Raw genomic sequence first — 17,387 nt, forward strand, 5'->3', positions numbered from 1 at the left:
ACATTAAAGGGACTTATGAATGTTAAATTTACTTAAGTTGATAATTATACCATGGGGCAAAGGGCCATGAGGTATGCAACTTATTCTCAAATTATTCAGAAAAAATAATCGTGTGTGCGTGCATGCATGCGTGTGTGTGTATAGAAAGAGAGTGTACAAGTACACAATGATAAAGCAAACTGGATAAAAGTTAACATAACATAAAGTCCCATGTGTGGTTGAGGGGAAGAAGAGGGAAGGAAGTGCAAAGAGGGGCAAGACTGTAATGTAAGCTCCTTACAGACAGGGGCCATTTGTAGTTTGTCAACTGTAGATCCCCAGCATAGAATCTAAGTCAATAAATATTTAAAGCATGAAGGCAAAAAGGGAGCAATATCCCTTGTTCAAACTAGCTTGGGGAATAAGGACCCATGGAAGGGACAAATGATTGATTGTTATGGCAGTGCTTGGGAATCAGCAAGCTGCTCTACTTAGAATGAGACCAAGGAATTTTTGAAGCTGTGGACATGAACACACGGTGTGGCATGGTAGGTACCTCACAATGCACCCATATTGCTCAGGGACTCAGTTGTCACCACTTTCTAACAGTTAGGTTAGGTTTAGACCCACCTTCAGCCCATCACTGAACCTTTCCCAGCCTCAGCATCCTCACTGATCAAAAGTGAGATGTTACTGATTCATCAATCAAATACTTACCAGGCATCTCCCATATGCAAGGCTCTAAAGTCACATTCCCTATTCTCTAGAGCTCTCATTCTAGAAGGGGTCTCAGAAACTGGTGGCATTAAATATTTTCTTGAGGTCCTTGAAGTCTTTCCCAGTTCTGAAAATTCTATACAAAAACTTGGGGCTTTCTATTTAAAAAAATGAACATGAACCTTATAGTATAACCACTCTCTAAAATACTCGCAGTAAATGTATACTCTCCTAAAGGTGAAAGTGTACTAGAAATGCCCCTTGTTTATTAACTTAAAATAATCTGTACACATAAGGCAATAAAATGCTTGACAGCATATATAATAAAGCCTTCTGTCAATAGTCAAATTAGTTTTGGCTGCCAAAATTCTTGCTCCTTGATAAGTCACTCAAATAGCAAGAATTTCAAAAATGTAGCAAAGCTCTTTTGCTAGAAAAGACATTATGGAAGATAGAAATACTTTAAAAGCAATAAATTTATCAATGAGAGAAATAATGCTGAAGTATAGATTAATGATTAGTATTAAAATAAAAACATCAAAAGTATTTTAATTTTCTGCTTCAATAGTCCTCCTCATTCATAGTCGACTAGCACAAAAATGGTTTCAAAAGCTAATTTTGTTAAAGACCTTGGAAAAAAGAAAAAAGAATTGCTCCTTCATGAATACTAAAGATGATAAAATAGGAAACCAATAACATTTTATCACTTTATATAAATTAATCTAATTTAGAAATAATTTAGTACTATGATTTATGCAGAACTTGTTCTCTAGCTAAGAGAAAATTTTACATTACTAGTATCAGAAACATGGTGCCTACAGTTGCTAGACATTAAATGTCTACACTGATTTATATAATTTAGGAGAAATGGTAAGGGATAAGGAAGCAAAAATATAATCAGAGACCAAAATAAGAGACCTATGAGAATATTATTTCCCAGATGGGTTCTTAGAAGCTCAAGCAAGAGTATATATGTATTAAAAATGGTCTCAACAGGCTGCAAGTTGACATACTGAGACTAAGTATTTGTCTTTAAAAAATAACCATCCTCCTGTCACTGACTGATATAATTCCCAAGGATCGGAACACTATTATTTTTCTGGCAGATACACAGGGCAACTGCTTTAAAGGGTTAGCTTCCACAACTAAAGGTCATTCACCTATGGTTTTGCAGAGCAGCAACTCTAAAACCTTTCTCCTAAGAAATGAAAAATGTCTAAACATCCTTTGGATTCACAGAGTCAACACTACTACCTAGTAAATTACCATACAGTGAAATCCTTACTGGATCTAAATGCTACATGGATTATGTTACATTATTTGTAAAGTTCAGCACCTGGCTCCCCACAGAGAGTTAATAATCATTTTTACCTATGAAGACACAAAAAGAAGTCAGTTGGATGCCACTAGGCAAGGAGAGCCCTGTCTCATACAGCCCTGCTGCCATCAATGATGGGAAACCAGGACCTCAGCCCTTTAGCAGCTCCAAAGTGAATACTTCCAGACTTACCTGGCCAACACACAGAGGCCCTGAAATGCTTTCACATAAAATTCCTTTTATGTCACAATATTCCAATGCCATAAATATCTAGCCATTTTTGATAATCAGAAAATGCAGTGATTTACAAGATTTATCCCACAGAAAATCCACTTAGCATTTCATAATACTTAGTTCAGATCATAAAGGCCAGTTGAGTTGGAATGACAGAATACTGGCTTTTAGAATTAACCCCCAGGAGCAAGATGGCAGAACAGAAGCCTACACCATTCATCCCCACTGCTGGGACACCAAATTTTAACAGCTATCTGCACACAGAAAAGCACCATCACAGGAACCAAAAATAAGGTAACAGCTCAGCCACAGTGGGGTAGAGCAAAAACCAGGTTCTTAGGGTCCCTGAGTCCAGGCCTAGGCTTTTGGACAGCATTTCCAGACCCGCCCTGGGCCAGAAGGGAGTCCACTGCCTTGAAGGGTGGGTCCCAGGCCTGTCAGCATTCACCACTGCTGATGGAAGAGCCCTTGGACTTTAAGTGAACACAGACAGGGGCCTAGCAGAAAGCCCCCATGGACCAGTGGTAGCGGGTGGCCACAGAGAAAGGCTCCTCTGCCTGTGGAAAGGGGAGGGAAGAGCAGGAAGAACTTTGTATTGTGGCCTGAGTGCCAGCTTAGCCGCTGTAGAATAGAACATCAGGTAAATTGCTAAAGTTTTTTACTTCAATCCCTGGCTCCCAGACAGCATCGCTGGACATGCCTGGGGCCGGGGGGGATCTTGCCATCCTGAAGGGAAGGGCCTAGGGCAAGTCCCAGTCAGTGCCATGCTGGCTTCAGGTCTCACCCAGCACAGTCCCAGTGGTTGTGATTACAGGGGTGCTTGCATCACCACCCTCCCAGCTCCCCAGTGGCTCAGCAAAGAAAAAGAGAGACTCTATATGTTTGGGAAAAGTAAGGGAAAAAGAACAGGAGTCTGCCTGGTAATCTAGAAAATTCTTCCAGATCTTATCTAAGACCACCAAGGTGATAACTCTACGAGTCTGAAAAAAACACAGCATTATTGGACTTGGGACCCAAGTCTCTTTTAATACCTGAAAGTCTTTCCAAGAAGAACAGGCACAAACAAGTTTAGACCGTGAAGACTACAATAAACACCTAACTCTTCAATGCCCAAACACCAAAGAACATCTACCAGCATCAGCATCATCCAAGAAAACATGACCTTACCAAATAAACTAAATAAGCCACCAGGGACCAATTCTGGAGAAACAGAGATATATGACCTTTCACATAGAGAATTCAAAATGGCTGTTTTGAGGAAAAGTCAGAGAAATTCAAGATAACACAGAGAAGGAACTCAGAATTCTATCAGATATACTTTAAAAGAAGGTTGAAATAATTAAAAAGAACCAGCAGAAATTCTAGAGTTGAAAAATACAGTTGACGTGATGAAGAATCTTTTAATAGCAGAATTGATCAAGCAGAAGAAAGGATTAGTGAGCTTAAAGACAGGCTATTTGAAAACACATAGTCAGAGGAGAAAAACAGAAAAAAGAATAACAAGCAATGAAGCACACCTATAGGATCTAAAAAATAGCCTCAAAAGGGCAAATCTAAAAGTTATTGGCCTTAAAGAGGAAGTAGAGAGACAGAAGTAGAAAGTTTATTCAAAGAGATAATATCAGAGAAATTCCTAAACCTAGGAAAAGATATCAACATTCAAGTACAAGAAGGTTAAGGAACACAAAGCAGATTTAACCCAAATAAGACTATCTCAAAGCATTTAATAATCAAACTCCCAAAGGTCAAGGATGAAGAAAGGATCCTAAAAGCAGCAAGAGAAAAAAAAGAATAAAAAAAAAAAAAAGAAAAGAACATACAATGCAGCGCCAATACGTCTTGCAGCAGACTTTTCAGTGGGAACCTTACAAGCCAGGAGAGAGTAGCATGACATATTTAAAGTGTTGACAGAAAAAACTTTTACCTTAGAATTAACTTTGCCACTAGCTGGTTGCTATCAATATGTACCAGTCACTTACCTTCTCATCTATAAAAGGAGAGTGGTTTTACTCAGAGGTTTATAATTCACAAAAAGGGTAAGGAATAACAGATTATTCTGAAATATAATGAAAGCTAAGGACTTTGTTCAAAGGAAGAGGATGCACAAATGTACATGCATATCTACATAGAGTATCTAGCATAATGTTTGCAAAAATTTCATAAGTGTCCTGAAGCCTGGCTATGGGTTTTGCTCAGAATCCCTTAATCAGAGGGCTCCCCTAGTCCTTGCTATTATAGATCAGGGTATTACGTATATCCTTGACTATATCTTCATATGTTTTAGACACAGAGATTCAAATTTTTAAGCCCATTGTACAAAGAAAATTACCTGCCAATTCATAGCCCTCATGTTTCCTCCTTGGGAATCTGAGTATCAGGATACTGCTGGGGGTCTTGGTCATCAGCTGTGCTCCTTACACACAAGTTTCCAACCTCTCAATGCTTTGTATGATGAAAAACAGTTCTCTTCTCCCTCACACCCATCCTTTTTCCATGTGCTCCTTGGAGAATAGGACAAATTCCTCACTCCAGAGGACTAATACCCAAGCCCGGTGGTCTCCTAAAGCAATGCTGCTCATACTTAATCATCTGAGGACCTTGTTAAAATGCAGATTCTGGCTCAGAAGTTCCCTGGTGGGGCTGAGAGTCTGCATTTTTAACAAGCTCCCAGGGACCACTCCAGTGGACACCAACTCTTAGCCCTCACCCCTAGTTCCTCAGCCCCCTCCCCACACTCAGCCTAAGGGCAACTCACACTGTGTCTCTAGAAGTTCTCTAGTAGCCTTTGAAGAAAGGGTGTTACAGCTCTTTTAAAACACAAACCCACCCCCTCAGCAGCTTTAAAAGAAACAAGTTTGTGTAATGCATTGCTGTGTCACAATAGTGGAAAAACCCTGGATTTGAGAGTCTGACAAACCTAGGTTTGAACTCCATAATCTAACAATGTGACTTGTGGCAAATTGTGATTTCTGTGAGTTTCATCTGTAAAATAGTCTTGTTGAGAGACTTAAAAGAGGTAATGCTACTCCAAAGACAACCTTGACTTAGCATCAACCTAACATTTCCTAATGATCCCTCAAGAATATTCTAACATAGAGTCCACCAATTCCTCCCGACAAGGTCTAAACTCAGTTATAGCAACAACCGTCTCAAATTCCTCTTTGTGTTCCCCTTAAGATCCTATATGCAAAGCCGGAGATATTGTGCAAAACAAGAGCAATCTGAGAAGGCAAGGTTTCTTCTTCACAACTCTGAGACTTCTAGGAATAACACAGAGAACCTGAGCATCAGTTTTCTCACATGTAGCGTAACAGAGGTAGAGCAGATATCTACAGGGACTGACACAGCTTGCCTTCCACAACAAAATGCACAGGGGTCTCTAAGTCTCTGGATACCACTTAGTTTTCCAAAGTAGACAAATAAACACAATTCTAGTTAATATTTAAGGTTGCATCTGATATACTCCAAATGATGGCATTGTTCTCTCAATTCCTGCATTTCATATTTCTTTCTGTGCCAATTCTTCAAATTATCCTACTGTGAACTGTGTAGTTCTCATCATAGATTAATCAAAACAAAACACTATTAATATGTTCTTTGTTATCTGTTGTTAAGGACCTTCCCAAAGTATTTCTACTTATCATCAGAAGACCGTGTACAACATTGTGAGGTCAATTAGTGCTCAAAGAATCGCTTGAACCCAGGAGGTGGAGGTTGCAGTGAGCCAAGATTGCACCACTGCACTCCAACCTGGCAACAGAGCGAGACTCTGTCTAAAAAAAAAAAAAAATTAGTGCTCAAAGGTATATCTTTGTATCATGATATCATGTATCAATATATCTGTTGATATATTGGTAGTAAAGTTAAGGCAAATCACATTTTAAGGACACTAAGAAAGCCTATTAAAGGAAATATGAAATAAATTTGTTACAAAAAAGGAAAATAACCATATGAAGGTCAGCATATCACTTCCCCCTTCCTCTCTGCAAATAGTCTATAAAGTCAAGATTTTCATGTACCACTTTTGCCCAAACTAGTGTACAATTATATGCTGTATTAAATCAGTAAACTCATACCTGATTTTGTGTACTGATCAAATCAATACTTTAGTCAACCAACAACTTCAATGCAGTGATTTTTATCCCTCCCATGTCATCAAAATCACCTGAAGATAGATAAATATACAGATAAAGAATGAATGAATGAATGGATGGATGGATGGATGGATGGATGGAAACATCTGGGTCCCATGTTCCAGAGATGATTTACCTGGGCTTGGGTTGAGTCCAACCATCATTGTTTTTGTTTTGTTTTGTTTTGTTTTAACTTGGTAGCTGGGCACTTACCACAGCAACATCTTGTTCCGTACTGTTGCCTGCTTCTTGGGAATACCTTGCTTTTCCTACTCTCTCCCGTAGCTGCCTGTGGTTATCACAGCAAGGATTCTCTGAGCCTCATTCTCCTCATTAGCGAAATGAGGATAATATTAGTCCCTCCAATCATTAGCAATTTTTTTTTTTTTGAGATGAGTCTCGCTCTGTCGCCCAGGCTAGAGTGCAGTGGCGCCATCTCCGCTCACTGCAAGCTCCGCCTTCCTGGTTCACGCCATTCTCCTGCCTCAGCCTCCTCAGAATAGCTGGGATCTCCTGCCTCAGAGTAGCTGGGACTACAGGCGCACGCTGCCACGCCCGGCTAAGTTTTTGTATTTTTAGTAGAGACGGGGTTTCACCGTGTTAACCAGGATGGTCTCGATCTCCTGACCTCGTGATCTGCCCGCCTCGGCCTCCCAAAGTGCTGGGATTACAGGCGTGCGCCCGGCCTAATCATCAGCATTTTTTAAAAAGCACCCTAGCAGATTCAAATGTATAACCAGATATGAGAATCACTACTTAGTCAATGGTTTTTAAATCACTTTAAGAAAGCACAGACTTGCCGGGCGCGGTGGCTCACGCCTGTAATCCCAGCACTTTGGGAGGCCGAGGCGGGTGGATCATGAGGTCAGGAGATCGAGACCATCCTGGCTAACAAGGTGAAACCCCGTCTCTACTAAAAATACAAAAAATTAGCCGGGCGCGGTGGCGGGCGCCTGTAGTCCCAGCTACTCGGGAGGCTGAGGCAGGAGAATGGCGTGAACCCGGGAAGCGGAGCTTGCAGTGAGCCGAGATTGCGCCACTGCAGTCCGCAGTCCGACCTGGGCGACAGAGCGAGACTCCGTCTCAAAAAAAAAAAAAAAAAAAAAAAAGAAAGCACAGACTTAAAACACATTATTGAGATTATAGACTATTTTTCCCATCTTTACTCTTTTCTATGCTTTCCAAATTTTCTACAGTGAACCTGTGTTGCTATCATCAGAAAAAATAAAGTGAAAAAATATTTTTAAAGAAAAACAGCAGCGGCTGGATGTGGTGGCTCATGCCTGTAATCCCAACACTTTGGGAGGCCAAGGAGGGTGGATCACCTGGGGTCATGAGTTCGAGACCAGCCTGGTCAACATGGTGAAACCCCGTCTCAACTAAAAATACAAAAATTAACCAGGCATGGTGGTGTGCACCTGTAATCCCAGCTCCTTGAGAGGCTGAGGCAGGGGAATCACTTGAACCCGGGAGGCAGAGGTTGCAGTAAGCCAAGATGGGGCCATCGCACTCCAGCCTGGGCCTCAGGAGCGAAACTCTGTCTTAAAAAAAAAAGAAAGAAAGAAAAGAAAAGAAAAACAGCAGCTACAAATTCCCAAGCATAGATGATTCTTCTATATTTTCCTGCTTAATTTATATTCAAATACTGTATTTCTATCCATGTCCTTCTTTTTTAATGCTCCCCCTTCCCTGCCCTTCAAGATTCAGTATAAAATAGACTATCATCACAGAAAATAACCATTATCAAATTCATGAATTCAATAGTTCTGTTGAGAAAATATGTATTGGTCATATTGTAGGTGGGTTTTCAACCCACCAAAATCTAATTGGCTGCCCACTAGAATCACATGAAGAGTTCTAACAATTTCCCCATACCCTGGCCACACCCCAGACCAAAAAATCAGAGCCTCTGAGCTGGGACCCAGGAAATAGTTTGGTTTTATTTTTGTTTTTGTTTTATCCCCAGGTGATTCCAATGCACAGCCAAGGCTGGGAACCATTGATTTAAAGCATTAATTACTTACAAGTCTCCACATCTAGAGATGATAAGCTTCTACTTAGCTTAAAAACACAATACCGTGAAATTCTCACATTGGCACAATTTTAAAGAATGGTCATTTGTAGAAATGCATTGATGTTCAATTTCAGGTTGGCAGGGAGTAAAACTACGACACTAAACAATAAATGTGTTCCCTGTTCTTCTTTTAATTGAGCATAAGCCACCATCCTTTACATTTCAATAGGAGAAATTCTAAAAACACTTATACGTCAGTCACATATGCTGACAAACAGACAAAAACATTTTCACAGATTCTATATTTATCCTACCCAGAGAGGTGTTTACTTCTCAGAGTGATCTTGCTACCTATAAGTCAGGAATGGACTCTCATAGTGCCTGAGATTCTTAGAGGAAAGGCCTAGGTGCTGACCATTTTTCTTGTTTGTGAAGCTGAAATAAAAGTGCATCTTCTTAACTTTTAAAGAAGTCCTATGCTGTTTGATTATTCTCCTCATGTACCCCAACCCCAGGCCTCTTTTCTTCCTCTCTTACTGAGAAAGCTAGTGCTTTTTTTTTTTTTTTTTTAATGCAGGTCTATTCTGTGCTCTCTGCAGTAAGAATTACCCCACAGACAACACTTACTTCTGGACTGGAGATTTTCAGACACAAGCAGCAGAGAATTTTAATAGTATGCAAACAACTGCAATTAAACAGCTTTACTAATAGTGCTATTTTAAAGAGAGAAACCTTCAGTTTTAAAGTCAGATAAAATACATATGTATGTATAACCAACATGGAAAGTCTACAATGAACTCAAAAAGCCTTTTGAAATTACTTTAAGAAATTATTTTAAAGAAATGGTTTTGTCCTTGCCCATTTCAAGGCATTATGCATTTGTAATATACAGTCTTTTCTAAGGCACACTTGGATTCTCATTGGTCTTCTTTTCCTTCTTCATCTCAGCAAGGATGGTTTATGAGTATTTTTTTTCTGGGTTTCCTAAGGCAAAATTCTGAGTAAAGGCAAGAAGAGAGTTTACAGTCAGAGAACTGATGCATTTCACAGCACAAAGATTAAAAATCAAACTCAACAGAGAGTGCAAAAATAGTGAAACCGCTCTTATCTCCCCTATTAAATAAAATATAGAAATTCATTCAGCAATATTTTATTGAGCACCTACTATATGCAACGCATTGCACTGTGTGCTGCAGATAGAAGTCAGAACAGTCTCTGCTCTCCTGGACCTTGGGTTGGAGAGACAGAAATGAAAGTAGTAATCACACAATTAATTGTTTTATTACAGTAATGATAACACAATGAAGCAGCAAAATGAAGCAGCAATGCACAGTGACCGGAGATCATAAAACAGGACCTGACCTGGTCTGAGTAGTCAGAAAAGGCTTCTCCTTTGAGAGGACTTTTACTCTGGGATTGAAAGGATGTGTTCGAAGTTGGCTAAGTGAAGAAGCAGTGAGTTTTGTGGGCAAGGAATGCAAACGTCAGTGTTTCTGGGGTGCAAAGAGAAGGGAAAGGGTGAGATAAGGTTGGCAAGGCAGATGGGTACCAGGGCAGGAAGGAATTCTGCTCCACACATCTTGAGTCTGAGGACCTGGAGAGCATCTGTGGAGCCATCAGGTAGGCAGATGGACATCTGAGTATTCGGCATAGAGGGAAGGTCAAAGCCATGAACACACTTTTGGAGTTAGCATAGACATGGGAACTGAAGCCGTGGGAGTAGGTGAAGCTGCTCCACACTAGGCTAGAGGCTTTAAATTAAAAATCTGAATATTCCTTTGAAACCAACAATTTACTCTTGAAATAACCCCAAACATATTTGCTGAAAGGAATGAGCCCTAAGAAAATATAAAACATGTCACAGATCTCTATGGGGATGACTTCATCCACGTGGTAAGAAGGGACAAACTGCAGTTTTTCAACTTTCTTTTGATAGATAGGAGATTGGAGGGTTTCATGATTACAAACACAATCACTAATTATTACTGGATCCAAGGAAAAAAATCTAGATCTTTTGCATAACTAAATTAAACAATTATGTTGCCCTAGAAGAACCCTGAATCTACTCATGGAAAGATTTTTCATCCTCCCATCAATTTCTGTGCATACATTAGAAACAGAGTGGGAAAGACAATTGGGAAAATGAGAGAGCAGAGGAAAACTAATTGTAATTATGGAAATGCAGCTTCAAGAACAAAGGCTTAAATTTGTAACACAGGTCTAAGGGGAAATAATTCTCAGAAGTAACCACTTAAAACATGAAAGGTCTGCAAATCTGAAGGAAAAAATGACGGTTTATTATACACATTATTTCTTCTTTCTAATTAATTAGAAAATTACCAATTCCAATTGCCAATTAGAAAATTGGTATTCCCAAGCATAAAGGAATAAAACAATCAAGGGCCTTTCTGCCTGGCTGGACTCTCAATGGCCACAGGTTTATGAGAAAGAGTTGGAGAATCTCATGGAAAAAGCCATCCAAGGCTTTCACTTGGCAGCAATAGGCTTGTTTCAGAAAATTGAAAGCTAAAGCTTCAAAGAATGAACACTGTCACTTCTCATCCACCTGGGCTTCCCATACATCCAGATCTCCAATTTGCCATTTAAAGAGCACCTTTTCATCCCCTCCATCGTTGCAGAAGATAAATGACCTTGCATAGAAAGCATGACAGAGAGATCACAGTGGGTTCAGTTACTCAGAAAAATCCCTTCATTGAATTAGATTCCCGATGAGGAATAGAGGCTGATACACCTCAACATGGATTTTTATACATACAGATCATTGCTTGGGTCTGATCAATCCAGCTACATAATGCTGCAAAAAGCAAACAGAATAAAGAACACCAGTAGCTTTAGGGAAATTAAGTCGCCCTAATCTAAAATGTTAGTGAACAAGGACCTGCCTAGAGTGACTCTAGGAGTCCAAGGAGAGCTGTCAGTGGTTGGGGGGCCGGGATTCCATCCATCAAAATCACATTACCTGAGCCGCTGTTAGGCGTATAATATCGTCAATGCCCAGGGTGGCAGAGATGGCACTCTGAGGAGTGAAACTGGAGGAAACACCCCTCACCCCCAGAAAGAAGCAGGGGAAGAGCTACAAAAGAATGACTGAAGAGATTGCTTAAGTTGGTAACATAGGGGAGCAGCCCCTACAGTGTGAGAAGAGACTGTCATCAGCAGGTCTGAGAAGAGCAAGGGGCAACTTCACACCCCATTCCATCTTTCAAGTCCTTTCAGTCTGTAGAGCTCCACATGAAGAAATACGGAGAGAAGAGAAAGGGCAGGAGCCAGACAGTTGCCCCAGTGTCCTCAGGGGCACAGGAAGCTGTGCTCTAGCCAGAGGAAACTGACAGCAGAGAAGGCATGAGGCTGAAGCAAGATGGCAGGTCCTCTCAGGAGGGTCCTTGGTAACAGAGGGAGCCAGGATAAAACTGAGAATCTACAGAAGATGGAAGCAGAGGGAGTCTGGATCACCTCACCGCTGCTGACATACAACAGGGACATGTGAGACAAAAAGCCTTTGCTCTCTCTTCTTTGTACCAAAATCTGTGGAACAGGGCCTTGAATTCTCCTTCAAGGGGAAGGAGTATAGCAGAGACAAAGGAACTCCCACCCTCAACCACCAACAGCCAGGCCAGCGGGTAAGAGGGCTTAATGAATTTGAGATTAAAATTTTAAAATGGACTGGACACTTAATAGCCAAAATTAGCCAGAAAGTAATAGAACCTATCCAAGATGCTACAATGGGACAAAGTATTTTCTGAAGCATTCACTGAAGCATATATGCTACACTAAGTTGAGAATGCTCAATAAACCAGTTACAAATGGAATGCTCATCATAAAGACCAAAAAAATGAAAGAACTTTAGATTTTAAAATATAAATAAATAGCATTCACTGAGAGGCTTTCATTGAGAATTTTTTGTATCTCCAAGACATCAAAGAAGAGTATATGTTCCCAAAAGGTCATAGAACAAGTATATTTCATACCAGCTCACATTAAAGGTTTTTTCCTTTGTGTTCTAAACTAGACATAAATATCCTCTTTTGTAAGGCCTGAATGGATGGCTATGATTTCCCTCAGACAGGGGAAGAAGAAAAGGAGATAAATCAATGTGGTCAGTTAACTCACAGCAAATTCTCCAATTAGCCTGTGTTTAAAAGTAGGGTGAGTAGGGGAGGTAGACAATCTCGCATTTCTTAAAATTTTAGTGCTTAGAAACTTAGAGGTCATTTTCCATAAATGCCAGCATTTTGCTGATATGGAAAACTTAGTCCCAAAGAGAACAACTCACCCAGAGTAACTCAGCCAGTGGGAACCCCTACAAAGTGTCACACCTGGGTCAGGCCATGCTTCCCTCTGTCTAAATCTTCACCACCTGCAAGATACACCTGAACATCATAGGCCTGAAAGGATACCTGCCCTGATGCTTTCTGCTTTGGTGGCCATCAATGGGAGGTAGAGAGCCTTTTGGGTGGGGCCAATAAAAGAAATCTACCTGGCAACGCTGCTTCCAGAATTAGTTCTATTATAATTTATAAAACTTAAATGAATGAAATATATTTTCTCCCTTAAGGCCTATCTTCTTTTTTTTTTTTTTTAACTCTTCCTCTCAATTTGTCTTTGAAATTTTTCCCTGGTCCTCTCTAATAATTTAATGATAATATTTTTAATCTTTTATCTTTTTTTTTTTTGAGACAGTTTTGCTCTTGTTGCCCAGGCTGGAGTGCAGTGGCGCCATCTCGGCTCACTGCAACCTCCACCTCCCAGGTTCAAACGACTCTCTTGCCTCAGCCTCCCAAGTAGCTGGGATTACAGGCATCCACTCCCACACCCAGCTAATTTTTTGTATTTTTAATAGAGACAGGGTTTCGCCATGTTGGCCAGGCTGGTCTCAAACTCCTGACCTCAGGTGATCCACCTGCCTCGGCCTCCCAAAGTGCTGGGATTACAGGCGTGAACCACTGCGCCCAGCCTGATACTTTTAATCTTAATGATGTTCATGAAATCTTGATTGTCATTGCAATAATAGGAATTCTATGTGCACAGGTATTTTCTGGACCTAGAAAAGGAGACTTATAAAGTTATGGCTGGAAAAGCTAGGCTTTGATTCAGTAAAGAAATGCTACTCTAACATAAAATCTAGTGATGCCCCACAAACCTAAAGCAGGCAGGCTGCCAAAGTCTAATAAACTGGCTGAAATCAATTGGAACCCTAATTCACTTTTGCATAATTTCATTCTCCTTGCATATTTTCCAGTCAGGATCTGGAATTCTTCTCTTTTCTTCCAGTGCAGATGGAACTCCAGTGAGGGAGAGCTTTTCACTCTTCATTTTTGAATATAATCACATTTGTCCTGAAAGCTTGTGTGTCAGTCCTAGATATTGGTCTCTCCATGGTCAGGAGAAACCTGTGACCATTCACACACACACACACACACACACACACCACTACCTCTCTCCCCTAAAGGGAAATGCAGCATTTTGCCAGTGCAACACTAACTACAAAGTTTACAGTCCAAAAAGAAATCTTATCTTCTCTTCAATGCCATCTTGCCAGCCTTTCATTCTCATACCCCCGGCCTGAAGAACACTTCCATCTATCATACACCTATCTTGATGTTTGACTACACAGAGACCTCACACCTTGCTGCTATAAGGGAACTTTACAATCTGGCAAAATCCTCACCTGAAAGACAGGGAAACTGAGGGCCCCAGAAGTGACATGAGGCTACACAAGTTAGTTGTTAAACTTGGATTAGAACTAGTCTTCAGGATCCCGTTTCAGCCTACTTTCCATTACAAACTAGCAGTCAAGTTTCTACCCTCACATCACCAACTAGGTCTGTGGCCAGGAAGGGGAGGCTGGATAAAAAGTAATCCTTTAATTAATTAACTAAGTCAATTAGTTTTATTAAAATGTAGTTCTGAGGCAAAGTAAAAGTATTAACATATATATAAGGCAACTTCTTGAAAAGGCATACTGCATAAATATTTAATAAGAGAATTACCCTTAATTTTATCCCTAGATAGTAAAAGATACTCCTAATTCAGTCCAAAATGTTTCTAGTTTAGATTTGTAATGGTTATTCCGAAATATTCATTTAACAACATGATGGCAACAAAAACAAATTTTCCCATAAGAAGTTGAGATGATAACCTAATAACTTACAGGAAAGCAATTAATACTTTTTCCAATAGTACAATTATAACTAGCAGTATGTGAAGACAAACATTAAGTCACTTAGTAAGGAGCTCAAATGTTTGGAAAGGCTTATGTGCATAAGAAATTGCATGTGCATATTAATTGCAAATACACTCATTATTGGTTAAGAATCAAGACTGCATCCCAGGTCAGAAAAAAAAATACTGCAATTCACTGAAAGCAGGAGAAACAGCTGAAGGTATAGGCAATTTTCAAATCAGGATAAATCATGAAGGTATAAGCCATTAAGACAGGGTTCATACCGCACCAAACATTCTTTGCTCAAGATTTTTTTCTATTGCAAACATATCAGAAGAATAAAAGTCAAGTAGGGGAAGATCCCAGAGATTAGCTTCTCTGATAGGTGCAAATTCCTTTGGGTTTTTCCTAAAAATCCAGGCAAAAGACAGACAAGAGGGAAATACAAAAATTCATCATTCCTAACAAGGTTTCTCTCATCGCTGGACATAGTAGTCAATTCAACCAGTTCATTTCCGTTAAGCACTATTTCCCAACCTTTCCAGATATTTCATTCCTGCCTCTGAAATGTGAAGATGAAATAGTAGGTAGATAAAAGGCCGGACATAAGCAGACTCTTAACAGTAGGTTTAACAGTCTCTTTCTCTTTGGGTTCTGGGATTGTGGGTAATATTCTAAATTGTTTCCAATGAGAATATACCACCTCTATAATCAGAAAATGAGGCTATGAATATGGTTTATGAACTGTGAAACTACACAAATGTTACATTTTTATTTTTGCTGCTATTGACCATTTTAGAGTTCTCATTTTAACATAGCTCTTTTATCCTGGCAACACTGCTGAAGTTTGTCTGTAGAAAGAGACCCTGGCTGGCATAATTTATACATCCAAGTCTGCTTATTCCAAAAGTCTATTATTCTGCACGGGAAATGGTTCTTTTCCATTTATGGAAGAAGTTTTGTTTCTTTTTGTTTTGGTTGATTTTGTTATGTAAGGAGAGTTATCAACAAAAACAAGGAGAAGCCAAAGTGAATAAGCAAAAGTGTGGTCAGTAAATGTTCAAGAAGCCCAAGAGAAATCTGACATTTCCTACTCAACATGTCCTGTCCCTTTCTTTTCTCAGAAATGTTCTGAAATCCTCTACAAAGACATTACCACTAGAGCTCCCTTGGTTTAAAATATCCCAAGACTTCTCACAATTCTTCCTTAAGTCAAGTAAGTTCCTATGTTAACAGATTCATTTTCAGCAGAGGTAGAAGAAGAGCAAAAGGCATCTTTCTTTCCTGAATTACAATATATCCTGAGGCAAGGAAATCCAAAATGATATTTTACACTATCAGAAATATATAAAGCTATTGCTGTATTATAAATGAATAGAATCATTGTTCTAATCGGAGTTGATTCTTTTAATCTTGGGAGGATTTAATATCTCTAAATCCTTTCGAAAGAGTAATTCTTGAATGTAAGAAGTAACCAATTCATATTTTAAGTGTTATACTGCCCCCTTGTGTATCTTGTGTTTAGTGAAAAGGGAGCTCAGACAATACAGTAATTGTAATTCTCAGAAATACTTCAGTGGAATCTGAGTTTAGAACTAGAAACAGCCTCAAAAATCATTGAGACCAGCATGCTCATTTCACAGAAAAGAGAACTGAGTTCCTGAAAGATTACGTAACTTGTCCAAGACCGTACACTGCTAGTCAACAACAGAGCAAATACTGTTATATAGAACTTAAGCCTCAGAATGTTAATTTTTTTTTTAATTAAAACGGAGATGGCAGCCTGAAAGAAGAAAAAACAGTGAGGTGTTGGAATTAGGCAGATCAGGATTTGAATTTTAGGTCACCATTTTACAATCTCCACAAGCTTTAGTTACCCCATTCATAAAATGGGTTGAATAATAGCTATAGCAAAGTCCTTGAAAGGATTCCGTATGACAATGTTAATGGTCATCAAGCCCTTAGCATAAGTATCTGCAATATAGTAATAAACTAATTGGTAATACGACTATAAAAATACATAGAAAAAATTTTAAATGATTATAGCCTTTGAGATCTCTGAATAAAGGCATTCTAAAATAATGAAAATAATAATGAGTTTAAGGCACTTAAATCTAAATTCTTTAAAAACTGGCACAAAATAAAGCTTGAAAAAATAAACCTAGTTCTTCTAACTCCCGTGATTTTTCTATTATCATATTTACTATTTTTTAATACGAATAAATTTGCAACAGAACAATACATAAATCAAACACTGCATGAGAGATAAAGCAATGAACAGGACCCTTGGCTGAGGCTAGAGAAAAGCAACGCAGAACCTCAGTGCCACAGGGTCAAGTCGCCATTCCCACGCCTCCTCTGCTAAGGGCACTTCACCACTGGAATGTCAAGAGAACCAACCTGGAAAGGTGGAGGCAGAAATTTTCATGCTGACATTGCTAATACCTAATTAGTTACATCAACTTGGGCAGTTATTTCATCTCTGTTTCTCTTTCTTCATCTGTAAAATGAAATCACTCTCTACTTTACAAGGGCTTTTAGTGAGGTTGTATAATGAACGTTGAAAAAACACTATAAACACCAAAGTGCTTAATAAAGTAAGGTTAAATTTGTTATCTTAAACTTAGTTTAAAGCAATAATAAACATTAAGTCTGTCATCAAATTGGGGAAGACTTCAGAACAATCTTAGAAAGGTGAAAGCAGCTTAGATTATAGGATTCTGTTAAAGAGCACTCCACTCCCCCTGAAATCTCTCTGTTCCCTCTACAATTCCACAGGCCTCTGATAGAGATTACTCCAAAAATTCT

General features: G+C 39.4%; 1 protein-coding gene across 13 annotated transcripts in view; it reads right to left on the reverse strand.

The window, feature by feature from the left end:
• PLCH1 (phospholipase C eta 1) overlaps positions 1–17,387 on the reverse strand; it is a 294,138-nt gene that overhangs the window by 235,072 nt on the left and 41,679 nt on the right. The gene's annotated exons all lie outside the window — the stretch shown is intronic.

Source organism: Homo sapiens, chromosome 3 (genome assembly GCF_000001405.40).
Source record: "Homo sapiens chromosome 3, GRCh38.p14 Primary Assembly".
In the NCBI taxonomy this organism is placed as follows: domain Eukaryota; kingdom Metazoa; phylum Chordata; class Mammalia; order Primates; family Hominidae; genus Homo; species Homo sapiens.